Source organism: Homo sapiens, chromosome 21 (assembly GCF_000001405.40).
Source record: "Homo sapiens chromosome 21, GRCh38.p14 Primary Assembly".
Classification (NCBI taxonomy): Eukaryota; Metazoa; Chordata; class Mammalia; order Primates; family Hominidae; genus Homo; species Homo sapiens.
In genome coordinates this window covers 31,988,507-32,008,676 of record NC_000021.9, presented here as the reverse complement: position 1 = coordinate 32,008,676, position 20,170 = coordinate 31,988,507, and the positions used below count along the sequence as shown (strand labels likewise).

The 20,170-nt window shown below is 47.3% G+C and overlaps 1 protein-coding gene across 2 annotated transcripts in view; it reads right to left on the bottom strand.

Annotated features, from left to right (window-relative positions):
• Positions 1-4,612: 4,612 nt before the first annotated feature.
• Positions 4,613-20,170, bottom strand: part of HUNK (hormonally up-regulated Neu-associated kinase) — a 131,045-nt gene continuing 115,487 nt past the window's right edge. Inside the window, exons 9-11 of one of the 2 annotated variants that reach the window (NM_014586.2) lie at positions 18,501-18,548; positions 12,729-12,909; positions 4,613-10,151 (exon numbers count right to left, since the gene is read on the bottom strand). In NM_014586.2, coding sequence (NP_055401.1) covers positions 9,493-10,151; positions 12,729-12,909; positions 18,501-18,548 — 888 coding nt within the window. In that variant the 3' untranslated portion in view covers positions 4,613-9,492. The remainder of the gene's footprint in view (positions 10,152-12,728; positions 12,910-18,500; positions 18,549-20,170) is intronic. The other variant, XM_011529537.3, reaches the window with a different exon arrangement.

The window sequence follows — 20,170 nt, the reverse complement described above, 5'->3', positions numbered from 1 at the left end:
CTTAGGAAGGTGAAAAGAGCACTCACATACACCCTCTTCATTCAAACACTCCTCACAAATCAATTTCCTTCTTCCTACTATGGCCATCACCATGTCCACCCTTTCTGTTGTGCAAAATTTTGCAAAAGGGACTGAGTAGACCTCAGACATCATGACACCCCAAGCACCCCAGATCCTCTTTTAATTCTGGGTTCTTTGTCCAGGTTCCTGGGAGGAGAACTGAGCTTGAAGGCAGAGGCTGTAACTGACAAGTTGTGAGTTCTTCAATGCATCATTTCTCCATTCTGGTCTCAATTGCATCACCTGCTTATTAAAATGATTCCCTGAATGCTTAGAGGACAATAAGGATTGTACTGACAAAATTCAACTGATTTTGTATCTGGGATACATAATATATTAGTTTTAGGTAAAAATGCTTTGTTTTGTTTTGTTTTGTTTTAAAAGTAGTAGTGAGGCTGGGTGGGTTAGCTCACACCTATAATCCCAACACTTTGGGAGGCTGTGGGCAGATCACCTGAGGTCAGGAGCCTGGCCAACATGGTGAAACCCTATCTCTACTAAAAATACAAAAATTAGCTGGGCATGGTGGTGCACACCTGTAGTCCCAGCTACTTGAGAGGCTGAGGCACAAGAATCGCTTGAACCTGGGAAGTGGAGGTTGCAGTGAGCCAAGATCGCGCCACTGCACTCCAGCCTGGGTGACAGAGGGATACTCTGTCTCAAAAAAAAAAAAAAAAAAGTAGCAGTGAGTTGTGAAAAGGATGCTCCAACAAGTTGCATTGTGCTTAGCCTGAGAATCTGAAAATCCAAAATTTCTTCATTCAAACTTCTGGAGATCTAAGCCCAAGGCTGGGTGACCACCATTGTTCCTGTGATTCTCTGAGTTGGCCTAATGCTTTGAACGTGAGAATGGCTCAGATAATTCAAGGGGCTCTGGGTGGTAAGGACTCTGAATGGCTCTTTGAAATTCTCTGACTCAGATGACATGATTCATCTTTCACTGGCGGGGACACTCGTCCATCCCAATGGCCCGCACGTCACCCAGTTGTGAGTAATGGTAATGATCTGTCTACAAGCATCATCCAGCTTCACATCTGCTCCAGATTTAGACTTGTTTCCTGAGACTTTGAGTAAGCTCTGTCTTTTTATAAGCAATTAAGAGCCCATTTTTGAGAGGCTATTCACAAAAGAGAAAAGGGAAACAGCTTGAATGGAAAACAGCTTGGGGACTAGGGCCATGTTCCATTCTGCACAGATGAAGACAGGATTGAATCTAAAGGTGGGGAACAAATAGTAATGACAGACTCGAGACCAGGATGGCTCTCCTGTAGCACTGCCATTCCTGTGGCTGGCAACCAACCCTGGAAATCTACAAAAAGCAACGAAGGAAGGAGTGGCAAAGAAAAGAGCCAGGGTCTCTCCCCACCTCCAAGTTCCCTTAGATTGAATCATTTTGCAAAACTCTTAACAAATTTGTTACCATTAGCCACAGGCCCTTCTGAGAGCCCACTGGCCCAGATGTCACAAAAGGAGCCCTCTCTGTCTTTCAAGTGGTGAGTTCCTAACATGAAAGTTGTGGTGTGTGATTGCAGAAGTCCTGATTGTGTCAACTGGGCATGATGGCTCACGCCTGTATTCCCAGCAATTTGGGAGGCTGAGGCAGGAGGATTGCTTGAGCCCAGGAGTTGGAAACCAGCCTGGGCAATATAGTGAGACCCCATCTCTACAAAAAACTTAAAAAATTAGCCTAGCATGGTGGCATGTGCCTGTAGTCCCAACTACTTGGGAGGCTGAAGTGAGAGGATCACTTGAGCCCAGGAGGTCGAGGCTGCAGTGAGCCATGATTGTACCACTGTACTCCAGCATAAGTAACAGAGTGAGACTCTGTCTCAAAAAACAAACAAAAACTAAAAACAAAAACAATCTATAAAACCCACAAAACTAATCTATAAAATAGAGAAAATATGACACTTCACGGAGTTTTTGTGAAGATTAAATCAGGGGTTAGCAAAATAACTACCTGAGGGCCAAAATCTGCTATGGCCTGTTTTTGTAGGTCCACCAGATAAGAACAGTTTTCATATTTTCAAAGGGTTATAGCAAAAACAAAAACTAAACTAAACTTAAAAACAATGCAGAGTAATACGCAACAGACTAATATGCAACAGTCATCTCCTAAGCCTAAAATATTTATTTTCTGGTCCTTAACAGAAAAAGTTTGCAGACCTCTGGATTAAAGGAAGAAAGAAACTTGAAAATAATTGGCACACTGAGCTTAAAGCACAAGAAACACTTAGAAAAGGTGGAATTTCAGGCTGGGCACAGAGGCTCACGCCTGTAATCCTAGCACTTTGAGAGACCAAGGCAGGCGGATTGCCTGAGCTCAGGAGTTCAAGACCAGCCTAGGCAACATGGTGAAACCCCGTCTCTACTAAAATACAAAAAATTAGCTGGGTGTGGCGGCGGATGCCTGTAGTTCCAGCTACTCAGGAGATTGAAGCAGAATTGCTTGAACCCAGGAGGCAGAGGTTGCAGTGAGCCGAGATCGCGCCACTGCACTCCAGCCTGGGTGACAGAGTGAGACTCTGCTTCGAAAAGGAAAGAAAAGAAAAGGAGAGGAGAGGAGAGGGTGGAATTTCACTCCAAAAAAGAGAAATTTTCTGGGAGTGATTTAGTCAGAAAAGGATAAATGGAAATTTGGCATATGGGGCAAAACATATGAGATTCCTAGAAGATGTAAATTTTACTATCTGACCTTTTCCCCGTGTTAGTCGGCCTGGGCTACTGTAATGAAATACCTCACCGGGATCTAAGCAACAGACATTTATATCCTCCCAGTTCTGGAGGATGGAAGTCTGAGATCAAGGTTTTAGCAGAGCTGGTTCGTCTTGAAGCTTCACTCCTGAGGCTGCCTTCTCTGTGTCCTCACCTGGTCTTTCCTCCGTCTGGTGTCCCATTGTGTATCCATATCTCACATTTTTTTTTGTTTTTGTTTTTTTGTTTTTTTTGAGATGGAGTCTCGCACTGTCGCCCAGGCTGGAGTGCCAGTGGCGCGATCTTGGCTCACTGCAACCTCTGCCTCCCAGCTTCAAGCGATTCTCCTGCCTCAGCCTCCCAAGTAGCTGGGATTACAGGCACCTGCCACCACGCCCAGCTAATTTTTTGTATTTTTAGTAGAGACGGGGTTCCACTATGTTGGCCAGGCTGGTCTCAAACACCTGACCTCATGATCCGCCCACCTCAGCCTCTCAAAGTGCTGGGATTACAGGCATGAGCCACCACGCCCAGCCCAGACCTCACATTTTTATAAGGGCACTTGTCAGATTTGATTAGGTTCCTCCCTAAAGGCTTCATTTTAACTTACTCACCTCTTTAAATGCCCTATCTCTAAGTAGTCACATTCTGAGGTACTGGGGCTGAGGGTTTCAACATATGAATTTGTGGAGGAAAGAATTCAGCCCAAAACACTCTCCTTAAATATTAACATTTACCAATGCTAATTCTTTTATTTTAAAAAAGTAACTCTTTACTAAGAGGTGCTATAATTGTGTGACAATGGGAAAAGGCTAGTCCAGTTTTGGGGTACCTTTAAATGGTAGGCATCTCGGCCAGGCACGGTGGCTCATGCCTGTAATCCTGGAACTTTGGGAGTCCAAGGCGGGCATATCACTTGAGGTCAGGAGTCCAAGACCGGCCTGGCCAACACGGTGAAACCCTCGTCTCTACTAAAAATACAAACATTAGCTGGGCATGGTGGCATGTGCCTATAGTCTCAGCTACTCAGGAGGCTGAGGCACAAGAATCGCTTGAACCCAGGAGGTGGAGGTTGCAGTGAACCGAGATTGCGCCACTGCATTCCAGCCTGGGTGACAGAGGGAGACTCCATCTCAAAACAAAAGCAAAAACAAAAACAAAGAACAAATAAATGGCAGGCAGCTGTACCTTCCCTAAGATGGGAGAAACATTAGCTGCATCCCAAGTAGCCCTATGCTCCTGTATTTCCCAGCCTCTTGCTCACAGACAAGGCAGTGTGACCAGTTCCAGTCAATGGGCTGTGGGAGAAGTGATGAGTCCCCTCATAGAATGTTTAAGGGCTGGTGGAAAACTCTCCAGCCGTGCCTTCCTGTGCTGGAGCAGCCAAAGACGTTTCATTTTGAGGGGACACAGCCACAAGTTGGATGTAGCCTGGATCCCTGAGTCACCATATGGAAGACAGCCGTTTTGTGGTCAGCCCAGCCTCATAAAAATATTTTAAGAAATAAACCTTTATTGGGCAAGTCACAGAGATTTGGAATTAATTTGTGATCATAGCAAAGCCTAATCTTCTAGCATACTGGTTGCCAGAGGAGGTGAGCACTGAACACTGATGAAGGAGTCAGGGGAAGGCATTCTCATCTCAGATCTGCCAAGAACTTCACTGCCCTACTTTCGGCAAGAAGACTTGTTCCCAATATAGGCTTGCAATTTGCCCTTTCCAGCTGGCTATGGTAACAAGACTAGAAAGAACACATTTTTAAAAAAAATTATAGAGTTTAAATGTAAACCAAAGCCTTTGCTTTCAAAATTGCTAATAGCCCATCTTCCAAGTAGGAAATACAAAGAGCTGAGGCCCTGAAGTCAGACCCATTTATTTTTTTCACCTGTAAATGATACAGCTTCCTGTGCCATCTTTAAGTTTTAAACCACTCAACTCCAATTGATCCTCAAGTTTGCTCCACATAAAGCTATTCTATCCTTCCAAAATTGGTTGCCCCAAATGCCTCATTATTGGAACACCACCAGCTCAGATGTGGATACATGTGGAGGGGGACTGCAAATCCTGAAATGCTCCTCACCTTCTCTTCCAAAGCCTCCTCAGCTTTCTCCCCCAACCTCAGTCCCTTAGTGCCCACAGACGTCAACTCCTAGAGATAACTGTGTGTCACAAAAACATGTCCACAGAGAAGAAGTACAAATATATATCCTATTTGTCTTTGCAACCAGATGTCTGGAAAGCTCCCTTAACAGAAAAGCTGCCACAAATAATATACTCATTTACTACTCAGGAAATGCACTCCCTTCATTGAAAAGTGATGACATGAAATTGAACCAACTCCCAGTACCGCTCTGAATTATTCTTACTGTGCCTGTAGCTCACAGAAGACCCCACAAAGAAAATAAATACACTAACCAACAGGCTTCCAGACTCCCCCAAAAGATAGCAGTTTTGCATTCTTTCTGAATTTGCTTCAGTGTATGATATGGCTCTATAGGAAATGTTTTATTGATTTAATCTAGTAAAACCCAATAGCCTCTTAATACCTAAAGTAGATAACAAGGCTATCCAGGGGTTTGCTGCTTACTTGGGAAGTCAACTGAGAAAGACAGAGTTCCCAAAGAAAGCTGTCTTTCCCCAGCTTCAAGAGTGGATGGGACAAACAGCATAAGGTTCAGGAAGCTGCACAGTTTTGAAAAGGACTTAAAAATGCAAGACCTAGTCCCTGCAGGAACTTCAGAAATACCTGTTGTGATGACGGCTTGATCTGTTGTTGACATCCCCCTCTGACCATGGCAGCCACTCTCTGATTTCTCTGTGTTCTTTGAGGGAGAAACTCTGCTCCAGACCAGCTCAAATGCCAGCTCATCTGGGGACTCTGGGGTGTCCTTAAACCATCTGGGTCCCTAGTTTTCCCTTCTTCAGAAAGGCTGGGGCTGAGCCAGAGAATCTTAGGTCCTTTTCTATTCTAAAGTGTTGGGATTCTTACAAGAAAACATTGTCATCAAAACTAGATACTTGTTCTTTTCCCCGGAATCCGACTACTGGGGCTTTGCACAGTGAACAGTGAGCTTCTCCACTTTCTAGCTATGTCACCCTCTAAGGCTTCGTCCCCTCACTTCCCAGGGGAAACAAGGTGGTATATATGAAAAACGTTTTGTGAACAGTTATGAAGGAAGCAGTAACTGGGACAATTTCAAGAGGTCATCTAGATCCCACCCTCCCATTCCATCCCATCATCCCTCTTCCCCTATCCATGACCAAGGCCTCCTACAAGGACAAAATCTAGAAGTCACGTTCATAACTGCCATTCTTTGTGTGCCATTTTCAGAGTCTCCAAGGAAGATCCTAATATCCCCAAATGAAAAAGGTTGATTCTTCTTGAACTGCCACCTGCAGTGTGTATGTCAGAAAGACTTTTGTAGGCACACCTATTGCAGGTAAAATAAGGCAGGGAAACTGGCCCAGAAAATGCCCCCCAATGCAATTCCCGCTTGTTTCCAGTCAGATGCTAGGTCAAGAGCTTTACATAAGGCCAGGCACAGTGGCTCACGCCTGTAATCTCAGCACTTTGGGAGGCCAAGGTGGGCAGATCGTTGGAGCCCAGGAGTTTGAGATCAGCCTGAGCAACATGGCGAAACCCCATTTCTACAAAATACAAAAAAAATTAGCTAGGCATTGTGGTGCACAACTGTAGTCCCAGCTACTTGGGAGGCTGAGATGGGAGGATCACTTGAATCTGGAGAGGTTGAGGCTGCAGTGAACTGTGATTGTGCCACTGCACTCCAGCCTGGGTGACAGAGCAAGACCCTGTCTCAAAAAAAGAAAAAGAACTTCACATAAAAGATGGTACCTGTACTATTATTTGCAACGTACTTAGTTGTTTTAAGATTTATCAGCAAATAAAGAAGCAGTCGTAGTGAGGGAAAAGTGTATTTCACAGTCATTACAAAAGTACATATATCTAATAATGGTGACATAAATATAGTCCTTACTTATGACCAAATCATACAATTAAAATGGACATTTCCTCCTAGACTTCACACAATGACAGTCCAGTCAATTTCTGTCAGTAACTACAGGGTGACTGGAATCACAGGCACAGACTGAGGAAGACAGTCACGGTCGAACAGACAACATGCTTCGGACTTACCAAAGGGAGAGTCGAGCTTTCCATATAAATATAATAAAATAATAAAGAATCTAACATTTCTCCTTTCACTCGGTTTCATAGATTTGTCAGGTGCTCACACACACACACACACACAAATACAGCTGATCCCCTTTCATCACTCCCCCTCACCTCTCACTGGGTTTAGAATAAACCTGAGTTCAGAGTCCAGGTCGCCAATGGCAACGCGGTCAGTTAGCGGCACATGTGCAGCTGTTCTTGAAGCCTGCCAGGAATAAGAAGCACGTTCTCCACAAGCTAACGGCAAGGCGGAAGTACCCCTGCTCTCAAGGAAAATGCATCAGGGGTTCCAGCAAGTTCCCAATGCGCAGGTATACACCCTGCAAGCCTGCAAAGTGGAGCCGTTGCAGCTGGAAACCGTCTTTAGAAAAGGTACACTTCATGTCGAATGGAGAGATGGTCTTAGATGATTATTTTCTTCTCTCTGCTTATAAAGCTCTATTTTCTTTTTTTGGAGACAGGGTCTCACTTTGCCACCTAAGCTGGAGTGCAGTAGCATGATCTTGGCTCACTGCAGCCTCGACCTCCTAGGTTCAAGTGATCCTCCCACCTCAGTCCCCGAAGTAGCTGGGACTACAGGCACGTACCACCACACCCAGCTATTTTTTTTTGTATTTTTCGGTAGAGACGGGCTTTCACCATGTTGCCCAGGCTGCTCTCGAACTCCTGAGCTCAAGCGATCCACCTGCCTCGGCCTCCCAAAGTGCTGGGATTACAGGTGTGAGCCACCACACCTGGCCTAAAAGCTCTGTTTTCAATGGTAAGTTCTGGAACCCAGTCTGAAGCTATACAAAAAATAACACCAATGGCCAAGGGGTCTGACCTCATCCTAGAATGCCCTAGAGCCGTGGTGATCCCCTAGGGAAGAAACAGGCAGCTCCAGGTCTCACCAAGGTCAGCCAAATATCCATTCTGTCCCGCTCTGTCAGAGATGTGAGGGACTGAAGGATGTCACCACTGGTGAATGAGAGAATGATTCAGAACTGCCTCTCTGCCTTCTGGCAAGGCTGCCTGCCAGGGAAATAAAGGCTGGCTTTGCAATTCTAGATTTGTGTTTTGGGATCCTTGGACTGAGATGACTATCTGAGGTGGCCACAGAGGTGGTCTCTGGTCACACCTGCACCGGTCAAAAGTTGAAGACTCCAGGCCATTCTGTAACTGGTCTCCTACACTAACCCCTATCCAACCTGTGCTGATGGGTCTTCTTTTTCTGATTCTTCTCACCAATGACTGCACCCTGTCAAGTGCCAGCTGGATACAGTCAGACAACACGGCTGTCCACAAAACACACACAGGGGCACAGACACAATACTGGAGACACATCTTTGGTTCGATCCTTGGAGAAAGGTGTGAAAACACAACGTGGACTGAACCCTGTTTGAGGAGCTTGGCTTTCCTCGAAGAAGAAACTGGCCTGTATCTGAACAGGTTCTCTGCCAGGCAAGCCTGCTCCCAGCTCCCAGCAAACTCGCCGAGCTCTGAGCCGCACCAGTTCTGTGGGCAGCTTGAAATCAGCATCGCACAGAGATAATGCTGCCTTCTCGCCATCTGAGTTATGCTCTGAATTGTCACAATCATCTTTTCCCTCTTTCTACAGAACCAGCTGTAACCGTGTTCTATGCCTTCCAGAAGGATCAGGGCTATGCCTTAAACAACAGGATGAACACAGGGCCACCGAGACTTGCCCTGCCTGTGGGCCACAGCACTCAGCAAATCACCACAGTCAGCTTTTTTGCTCTCCACACTGAACCCTCCTGTGAAAACATGAGTTTGGTGGAATTGCTTCTCATCTCTCCATCCAAGTTTTAAAAAATTATGTTATTTCAATTTACCGACATCACATTTAAAAAAAATCTTTGGAAAAGATAATTCAATCATTAGCATGTTTCAACAACAACAACAACAAAAATCTATCAAAATCTTGCTTGGGAAATGAGTGTCTCCTTCAGTCTTTCTCTTCTGTTGGGGTCCCCACTGTTTGGTTTGATCTTGGTCCGAAGCTCCTCTCCATCTTCCTCTGAGGATCCTGGGCCTGCCCCCGGCTCCTGCTGGCCTTCAGGTAATCCCTGCTATGAAAGGCAGGGCTGCTACACTCCGCAGAGGAAACGTGGCCTGGATGAATGACTGTGATATTGTTCTCTCCCTGTAACTGTGGCCAACTGCTGTGAGAGGCACACATGTAGCACAGCGTGAAGAAAGATCTGGTAACAGTCCATAATCTGAGTGCCCCAGAAGGCTCATGCCCTGTTTTCCCCCCAAGCCTGGGGGAAGTGGGAAGTGGAAGGGGTTGGTGAGTACTTGGGAGGAAGGAAGATCTGAATGATAGGAATTGGCTGCCCCTGGAGCCAACCCTCCTAGCGATTCCAGCATCTCTGGGGGTCCCTAAGCGAGGTTGGGTTGTGCAGGCTTTGGGTCTGTGGATTCAGCTACAGGTGGGACTAAGGATGCTCCACGCGAGGCCTTGGAGTGCTCACACCCTGACAGATGTGTGGAGCTCTGTTCAGTTGCTGTTTTCTAGAGATACCCCAAACCCCGCTGGCCCAAGTTAGCACTGGGTCTTGACCCCATCGGCCATGTCAAAGGCAAGGTTCACAGGGGCTAGGGGCTGCAGTGGGGGCAGGCTGGCCTCCAGGGGCCTATCTGCAGATGGCTGCAGACTCTGATGGCGCTTCCTTAACATCTGTCCGATGCCCATCATAGGGAACCGGCCTCGGCTTTTCACACAATTGGGGCTCCCCAGAGGCTGCATGGGGCCATTGCTGGGAACCGGAGGTGGGCAACACAGGCCCTCCTCTTTTGGGGGGCTGTTCTTATCTTCGTGAGCAAAAGAGACCAGAGTTGGATGCAAAGGAGTATGGAGAGGCGACATGCTTCCGGATGGCAGACCCGGGGACAGCGTCCTCTCGCTGGAATTTCTGCGAGCCAAGCTGACCGGGGAGTTCAGAATCCTGTAGTGATGAGAGGGAGACAGCACTTCTACGTGGTCGTCGCGATCCACAGACTCGAAGGAGCGCACCATGTCCAGCATCAGGGGGTCTTCCTTGTGGGGGATGCCAGTGCTTCCGGGCCCTGGCTGATGGGGCTCCGGTTTCTTCACAATCCTCGGGGTCCTGGGCGGTGGCACGGGGATGAACTCCATGGAAGAAGAAGCCACACAATTGGAATCTGAGGTTTTGCGGAAAATATTGCGGCAGCCAAAGGAATCTGCACACCAAGAAAGCATAAACAATCATGAGGACGTCCGGACAGTGCTCACGGCCCTTCTCCTGCCTGCTGTGACCTCCAGCTTAACTGAGACAGTTCCCGCCAAGGTCAGAAGAAACCAACCGGCAAACAGCCTTGGCTACTTTGCAAAAGTCACCAGCAGCATGTCACTCTCCCCACAGAGGTCGGGCAGTCTTCCTAGGATGGAGGGACAGAGGGCTGGCGACAGGACGTCTCCTGGATTCCAATTTGCCTCATGGCCCCAGCCTAACATCGTCCCTGCTTTTGGTTGCTTAAAATTCTGGACCCTAGGCAGCGGTGGCTCACGCCTGTGATCCCAGCACTTTGGGAGGCCAAGGTGGGAGGACTGCTTGAGCCCAGGAATTCAAGACCAGCGTGAGCAATATGGCAAGACCCCGTCTCTAAAAAAATTTTAAAAAATTAGCAGGGTGTGGTGGCATGCACCTGTGGTCCTAACTACTTGGGAGGCTGAGGTGGGAGGATCACCTGAGCCTGGGAAGTGGAGGCTGCAGTGAGCCGTGATGGCACTACTGCACTGCAGCCTGGGTGACAGAGTGAGACTCTGTCTCAAAAAAAGAAAAAAAAGAAAAAAAAATTCTGGACCTTGCCAAAGGATCTTGGAATAAAAAAGGTACATGCACTCAACAGCACATCCATAAAACTCCCAGAAGCACACCAAGGTCCCTTGACTGAATTCCTGCCAATCTGGTCCTTGGACAGCCCACAGTGGAAGACATGTTTCCCTTGTGACATTTAAAAAATTTATTTATTGTGGTAAAAAACACGTAGCAGAAATGTTATCATCTTAACCATTTTTAAGTGTACAGTTCAGCAATAATAAGTATATTCACACTGTTGTAGAATCAATCTCCAGAACTGTCTTCCTGTTGCAAATCTAACACCCCATATACATCCCCATTCTCTGAAACCCCCAGCAACCACCATTTTACTGCCTGTCTCTATGAATCTAACCACTCTAGGGACCTCATATAAGTGGAATCACACAGTATCCGCCTTTAGGGACTGGCGTAATTCACTTAGCATAATGTCCTCCAGGTTCATCTGTGTTGGAGCATGTGCCAGGATTTCCTTCCCTTTTAAGGCTCCCTCGTGACTTTTGATCTGGATGGAACCTCATCCAATTCTGAACGGGGGAAGAATATCATCCATCCATACAGTTAAGGCAACCTGCCAGATCCCCATGGTTTCTGTCTCTGGTTGGCATAGACTAGAATCCAGGTTTGGAAACTGGGCCAGAAAAGAAAGGGGAAACCCCCTACAGATTTGGGGATGAGGGAAATAAAGCCAAGTTCATGCGGAATAAGCTCTGTCTTAGCTTCTTTCTTCTCCCATAACGTTTTATAGGCTCTGTGGAGGCCCAGCTGCAGGAGCAAGCTCCTGCCCACTGGGATCGATTTTGGGAGTGGCTGAGGGCACTGGGAAGCCTCCCTGCCTTGCAGAAATAAACACACAGGCACCGAAATGAAAGGCCGGCGCAGGCACCTGAGATGCATCAGCAGAAAGAAGTAAAACTTCATTAATGGCCAAGGTCTCCAGTGTTCCAGCTGCCACATGGACACTGCTGCCCCTCCCCGATCCACTGCATGCTCTGCCCCAGGGAAAGCAGGTTGCTTTGGGCAAAGTGGGTACAGTGGCTTCTCTCCGGGAGCAGCATGGGAGATAGAAGGACAGGAGGCAGGTTCAAGTCCCGCTCAGGGACTAACTGCCCGCTACACCTGAGTGTATCTCAGACAGCCACGGCCCTCTCTGAACCTGGTCTTTCATATTTTAGGAGATTGAACTCCAAGAAGTGTCTCATCCCCCTCAGTAATAAGAACCTCTCCTCTACTTCATGGCTCTGCTTCAGGACGCCCTCAGCTCCTGTGTCCCCTCTTGGCGTTTCTACCATGTGTTAAGCCTGTGCCCAGTAAGGTCTGCCTTTTGCATCTTTTAGCACTCGTCCCAGAGGAGGGAAACATATTTGTCAGTTATCTGTGATGGGCTGGATTCTGACTCAGGTGAGGGAGCTTATATATGCATCTCATCTCATCTACCCAACAGCTCCAACAGGTGGGAGGCCTTACAAATAATCCAGTGAAGATCCTCAGCACTAAAGGAACTTGGACCTCTGCAGGCAGTAGAGCTGGGATTTGAACTCAGGGAGATACCCGGTCTCTGCTCTGCACCCCATCTCTACTCCCACAATTCCTTACAGCCTCATCTCTGCCCCTGCAGTACCACACACCCTGATCTCTGCTCCTGCAATACTGTGCCTCCCAACCTCTGTTCTGACAATATCATCCACCCCAATTTCTGTTTCCGTAATACTTTGCACCCCATCTCTGTTTTCTCAAATTCTTCCTGCACAGATGGCTAATGCCACACAGCTTGGTCCTGGACTGTGCTCAGGCAACCTCAGGTCCATTAATCCTGCTTTTCTGTGGGCACAGGAATCATCTCTGCTCTAGGGCCCATTCGACCATCCCCTGTGAGGGCTACACAGCGGACACACAGCCCAACACGAGTGGCCTGAGAGAGTCCCCAGAGCTGACCCACCTTTGTCGGGGAAGCTGGACTTGGAGGCCTTCCGGTCCTTCAGGAGGGCTTTGGTGTTCTGAATCTGTGTCATAAGCGAGCCTGAGGGCTGTTTGTGCGAGGGCAGGTTCTTGTCCAACTTCTTGGAGAATGGTCGATGAAGAAAATCCCCTCTTTTTTCTTGTTCTTTGGGCTTTTTATCCTACAAATCAGAAGCAAACATATGCACTTAGACACATACTAGAAGACACAATGGGATTCCTCTTTGAAAAGTCATCCAAACTGATTAGAGAAACTCCACCTTTTCAATACTCTATGCTCTCAACTGTGTGTTGAATGAGGGAGGAGCTGTGGCCCAGCCAATGCTCCAGGAAGCCCATCTCCCTCTGCCTGGGCAGCGAGAGGCCTTCAATGGACCCCAGTTCCCTTTCACTGTGCTCTTCCAAGGCATTCCAGCAAGGGCAGGGCATTCCTAGGAGGTCAATTCTTCTGGAACAAGCCCAACAAACCAAGGTGAAGCAGAGCAGGACTTCTGGAAACCCACTGTCTACATTTAAAGATTGTGCCTGCAATAACGGCTTTGCAAAGGCAACTGGAAACATAACTGCTTCCACCTTCACATCAGGTTCTATTTGGGGCAGTCAAGCCAAGGAGGTGCCAACACAACATATACAACAAATCCAGAGAGCCCTGAGCGGTCCTGATGGGCTTCCAGCCCTTTCTACCCTAATCGTGTGAGCACTTACTTGCGTACTTAGTACTCGTGTGTATGAACGTGTGTATGAAGCTTTTTTTTTTTTTTTTTTTTTTTGAGGCAGGGTCTTGTGCTATCACCCAGGCTGGGGTGCAGTGGTGTCATCATATCTCACTGCAACCTCGAGCTCCTGGGCTCAAGTGATCCTCCCACCTCAGCCTCCTGAGTAGCTGGGACTACAGGTGTGCATCACCATGCCCAGCTATTTTTTAAAAAAAGATTTCTTGTAGAGATGGGGTCTCGTTATGTTATCCAGGCTGGTTTTGAACTCCTGCCTCAAGCAACCCTCCTGTCTCTGCTTCCCAAAATGCTGGGACTATAGATGTGAGCCAAAACGCTTGGCAGTGGCCATTCTTTTGGTTTAAATCTTGCCTTCGTTGTACTAGAATATAATCCATCTGATAGGAATGAATTTGACTATTTTATGTATCTTCAAGTCCACAGCCTCTGGCATAAAGCCAGATGCTTACAGAAAGCTTAATAAATAGTTATTAAAATGTTTTTTAAAAGGGCTGGTAGAAACTGAACTGAACTAAAATTAACTCAGTTCAAGCTTCTGGGAAGGGTGATGTCACTAAGAAGCAGCAGCAGTTCTTTTTCCAGCCCTAAAGCCTGTGTTTGGTGTTTACTATTAAAGCAACTCCACCTCTGACCTCACCGTGGGTGAGGAGGAAAAAAAGACTCTTCTTTTTCACATTTTTGCCCTCAACTTTAAGAGCATTTGCAAACCAAGAGAGCTCGTCTATTTTTTCATTCATGTTGTTGAGAAGCTTCTCAGGGAAATATCTCTCTACACTTTTGCAGCCCTTTCTAATAAGGATGTTCAAAGTCTGCAGATAAGAGTTCATGATGTCCAGTTTTTGAGTGGGAAAGACGACAGGGTAGATGTGGGAAGTGGGGATGCTGAGCCTCGTGGCAAGTGCCACTGTGAGGGGCTACAGCTCTCTAGGGCCCTGGCCTGTAGCTGATGTGGCTCCTCCCTAACAAAGGGGTGACATGGGAAGACAGGAGAGGCAAAGCTTCCTCAAACTCCCTCCTCAGCACCTTCACAGCTGCCACCAGCCTTTTTTGAGAATATGCAGGGTGCCAGACACTGCACTGAGGGCATGACCCACCACAAGGCAAATTCTGCTACCTCCTTTACATGTGAAGAAACAGCCTGCAGTGCTTATGTCATCCACCCATGAGCCCGGTGGAAACGCGGATTTTCCCGGCCCTGAAGTTGATGTTGTCAACCCTTGACTTGACACCACACTCTCAGAGCCTGCAGCAGGGTCAGGCGGTTCCAGAGATGGAAAGGCCCAGAGGCAGGAGCATGCCACAGTCCTAGGCTCCTGCAGTGGGATCTGAATGTTCCAGAGAAGGTTATGTGCTCCAGGACGTTATCTGGGATGCCATGAAGGGGAACGTGTCCTCCAGGTCACCTTGGTTGAAGCCAGCAAAGGACAATCACTATTTTCCACGGCTTTCCTCTCCCTTTGTGTGCATGACACACCAACAGGCCACCTTCTCCAAGGCAAAGGAGAACAAGCTTTTGCACACACGCTTACACACACAGAGACACACACCCATCCAGCAGCAAAGGCAATGTTACCGGCTTTCCTGAAAAATCTGGCACAATCTCCTTTTACTTGGTTCCCTTTCTCTACTTTTATGCTAAAGTCACCAGCTCTACCTGCTAACACCTTCTACAGGAAAAAGTAATCAAATGCACCTTTGTCATACATTTCCAAACAATATTTGGTAGAAAAGACAACACGGCAGTTCCTTCTGTTTTAGGATTGCTTTTTAAATCGATCAGCAAACATTTTTTTCAGGCTGCTCTGTGGCCCACAGCCTTGAGAGCTGCCGGTGGCTGTCTAGGTTTATTTTCATTCCTTTCTAACCCTCCTTGGGTTCTCAAAAGCTTAACAATCAAGATGCAAAACTTCTGCGGACCAGTATCGCCACCCAGTTAGGGTCTATGGGTACCTAGTGGTGTGTAATGCGTGGGGGTTTGCTGTGCAAAGAGACCAAGGTTGGCCTGTAAGACCAAATTTCTCCCGTCACTGACAAGGGGGCTATTTGGCAATGAGCAGAAAGCTGCTATGGGGGCAGAAAAAAGGAAAAATGCACCCCCAGACAGAAAATTCCAGGAAACCCTGCCAAGACCACCCTTATTAAACTTCATCCCAACATCCTGCACCCTGGTATGTCCTCCAAGAACCCCTAGCATATCCTTCTCCAGCTGAAAAGAATCAGTGATTTCATAGTAACTGGTGTCTAAGGAGAAATCAAGAAATTCACCCCACCTGCTCCCTGTCGGGGACAAACCTCAGAGTCAGTCCACGCAGAAGGGTCAACCGCCCAGAGAAAGCATGTTTATTTACAACTAGCCAATCTCCCTGCCCTCCAAGCACATGTTACCAAATGCAGCCAATCACCCAATTAGACTTTTTCATTTGCATGGCCTGTTTTCTCCAAAAGAAATTTCCTAGGGAGCAGGATGCTAAATTGCCTTACATAACAGAAACAGATCTTCAGAGGGACTATCACCTCCCCCTTCCACATGCAAGCTCCTCACACGGCAAGGCTGCCGCCTGCAGAGACTCCTGGCTTCCCTCCGATGCGCTCCAGCACCCACATAGACTTGAGGGTGGGCGATGGAATTCAAGCTCTCGGTTCGAAGCCCGCCCTCTCGCACCTTCATGGCACAGTTCCAAATCCCCCAAGGCAGATCAGAGAAAAGACCACATGAGGCCCCAGAGGCAAGCCATACACTAAACACCTTCTTGTTCTCTATCAACTATTTCCACCCACTGCGGATGTGCACGGACATTTGCAAAGTGGGACATTTTGAAAACGCAGCCCCATGAACAATCATTTACCCAGGATCCTTAATGTTGTATATTGTCCTGTGGAGGAGACGGAGATGCCTACAGGAGGGGGAAACCCATCCTTAGCCTCTGAGGTCTGAGCTCCAGAGAGCTGGTTCCCTTCAGAGTCTTCCCTGATGGCTGTGCAACTGGGGGTATGATGGCCAATGAAGAATGACCCCAGGCTTCTGTGTTCCAAAGACCCATAGCGCCCCCTTCTTTCCCGGCATGGCTGCCACAGGTGCTCCACCTGAGGATCCCAGCCATGGTCACAGCTCGGCAGTCCGGAAGTCTGGAGTCCATTCCTCGCTCTCTCCATAATGTGTTGGGTAACCTTGGGCAATTCACTTCTCCTCGAGGGAGGTGTTTTCCCACGTGTAACCAAAAGTGTGGATCCTTCCCAGCTCTGGGAGGATAACAATGAACACACATCACACTTGCTTTATCGCCTGAACAGCAAATGCATCCATTTAACAGGGACGGATGCTTGCTTTGCATCCTCATCACCCCAGGCCGGAGGATGGATGGCTGCCTGGGAAATCTGCCTGTTTCCACATGTGGCAGAGGAGCCCTGGGAGCTGAGGTAAGTTTTCTTTGAGTAACTCTATCAAGTCCAGTTCGACATGGGCTTTTCTGGAGCTTTCCTTCCCTCTGATGATTAATAAGCCTCACCAGGCTGTTTGGTCTGTCAGAACCAAGTGCTGACTGCTGCCACCTGGGATGGCCCAGGGCCCAGATGTCGTTGGCTGGTTGGTTTTGGTTCCTTGTCACCCATCACATAAGAAGAAACCTGGTTTTGCTGCAGAAAAACCTACAAGTGAGTGGATAAAAAGAGGGCTTTGGGCCGGGCGCAGTGGCTCATGCTTGTAATCCCAGCACTTTGGGAGGCCGAGGCAGGCAGATCACTTGAGGTCAGGAGTTTGAGACCAGCCTGGCCAAGATGGTGAAATCCTGTCTCTACTAAAAATACAAAAATTAGCCTGGCATGGTGGAGAGCGTCTGTAGTCCCAGGTACTTGAGAGGTTGAGACAGGAGAATCATTTGAGCTTGGAAGGCAGAGTTTATAGTTAGCCAAGATCACACCCACTGCACTCCAGCCTGGGTGACACAGCAAGACTCCACCTCAAAAAAAAAAGGTGGGGTTTTGTTCATAAATTAGGCCATTGAGCCAGGAAGCTCTAGATAGCTGCAAACTCCATTTCTCATACAGGTGGTAACAGAAATGCACAGGCAGGTGTAGAGTTGTAACAAGACAATAAAAAACAGCCAATTCCGCATAGCAAGAACCAATGTGATCTAAAGGGATTCTGATAAACTCACTCACAACAGGATTCTGCATGTTTTAATTCTGGATAAGGATGGGGCTGGCAGAGCCTGCTGCCCTGGGCAGAGACTGACCAACCCTTAGGATCATATGTGATGGTTAATTTCATATGTCAACTTGCCTAGGCCATGGTACCCAGTTGTTTGGCCAAACACCAGTCTAGATGGTTCTGTGAAGGTGGTTTTAAAGATGTGATTAACAGGCCAGGCACAGTGGCTCACACCTATAATCCTAGCACTTTGGGAGGCTGAGGCAGGTGGATGGCTTGAGGTCAGGAGTTCAAGATCAGCCTGGTCAACATGGTGAAACTCTATCTCTACTAAAAATACAAAAGCTAGCCAGGCGTGATGGCGGGCACCTGTAATCCCAGCTACTCGGGAGGCTGAGGCCGGAGAATTGCTTGAACCTGGCAGGTGGAGGTTGCAGTGAGCCAAGATCACAACATTGCACTCCAGCCTGGGCGACAGAGCGAGACTCAATAAATAAATAAATAAATAAATAAATAAATAAATAAATAAAGTGATTAACATTTAAATTAGTAGACTTCAAGTAGATTATCCTCCATAATGTGGGTGGGTCTCATCCAATCAGTCAACGGCTTTAAAAAAAAAAAAAGAATGAGGTCTTCTGGCAAAAGAAATTCTGCCTCTAGATGGCCTTCAGACTTGAAGCTGCAACATCAATTCAACCAACCTGCTGGTCTGCCCTGCAGATTTCAGACTTCCAGCCAACCCCCACAAAACTGTGTGAGCCAACTCCTTAAAATAAATCTCAGTCTCAATCTCTCTCTCTCTCCATACTCTATTGGTTCTGTTTCTCTGGAGAACCCTGACTAACATAATAATCCCCCAAGTTCTTACCTGCACGGCATGGAATTCAAGATCTCGTGTCCAGGTGTCCAGAGAGGCCTGTGAAAAGGAACATCCTTCAACAATTCGAGAATCTGCACCTGCTATTTATTCCCTAAATGCTTCCCCTACGGCCCTGCAGCTCTGGTTGAGAATTATTCGTTTCGGTTTTCATAGACAGAAAGCAAATCCTGAAATTGCCATGGAAGTAGACAGCAGATGTCCTAACTCGTGTGCTGAATAGATTTTCTAGGTAAACTTTTTATTAAAATCTAAGATGCCGTATGGAGGAGTGCTCTAATGATAAGTCAGCAGCTCAATGTTTTCTCAAACAGCAAAGACACCCACAGAAATGGCACTTGGATCAAAAAACAGAACACAGCCAGCATCTGGAAGGTCCTCCCTGCCATCCCCATGTCCTCTGCCAGGCATTCTGTCCCCCAAAGTAACCAGGCTTTTTTTTTTTTTTTTTTTTGAGACCGAGTCTCGCTCTGTCACACAGGTTAGAGTGCAGTAGCACGACCTTGGCTCACTGCAACCTCTGCTTCCCAGGTTCAAGCGATTCTCCTGCCTCAGCCACCTGAGTAGCTGGGATTACAGGCGTGCACCACCACACCCAGCTAATTTTTGCATTTTTAGTAGAGACGGGGTTTCACCATGTTGGCCAGGCTGGCCTTGAACTCCTGACCTCAAGTGATCCACCCATCTTGGCCTCCCAAAGTTCTGGGATTACAGGCATGAGCACTGAGCCCGGCCAAGTAACTACACTTCTGATTTCTAATAGCACAGATTGCTGGATCTGATTCTGAACTATATTTTTTAAAGTTATATAGATTTTGAAATAAGACACAAAGTGAATATTTTAATATTTGCCTTTAAATGTTTCATCCCTGTGTGGGTTGAACTGTATTCTCCTAAAATTCATAGGTTAAAGTCTAACCCCAGGACCTCAGAATTTCACCTTATTTGGAGAGAGAATCTTTACAGAGGTAATCAAGTTTAAATGAGGCTATTAGGTTGAGCCCTAATGCAGTATGACTGGTGTCCTTTAAAAATGTGGAAATTTGGGCCAGGCATGGTGACTCACATCTGTAATCCCAGCCCCTTGGGAGTCTGAGATGAGCAAATGCCTTAAGCTCAGGAGTTCAAGACCAGCCGGGCAACATGTTGAAACCCCCTCTCTACAAAAAATTAGCCAGGCATAATGGTGCATGCCTGTAGTCCCAGCTACTAGAGAGGCTGAGGTGGGAGGATCACCTGAGCCAGGGAGGTCAAGGCTGAAATGAAATATGATTGTGTCACTGCACTCCAGCTTGGTCTGGAAACCGAGAAAGAAAAAGGAAGGAGGGGAGGGGAGGGGAGAGGAGGAGGAAGCGAGGGGAGAGGAGAGGGAAGGCAGAAAAAGAGAGAGAGAGAAAGGAGGGAGGGAGGGAAGGAAAAAGGGAAGAAAGAAGAAAGAGAGGAAGAAAGAAAGAAAAAGAAAAGAATAAAGCAAAAAGAAAAAGAAAAGAAAGAGAAAGAAAGAAAAGAGAGAAAAGAGAGAAAAATGAGGGAGGGAGGAGAGAAAAGAACAGGGAAATTGGGACACAGATACACACACAGGAGAACACTGTGTGAAGATGAAGGCAGAGATCATAGTGATGCATCCGTAAGCCCTGAACCTGGCCTCCAGAACTGTGAAA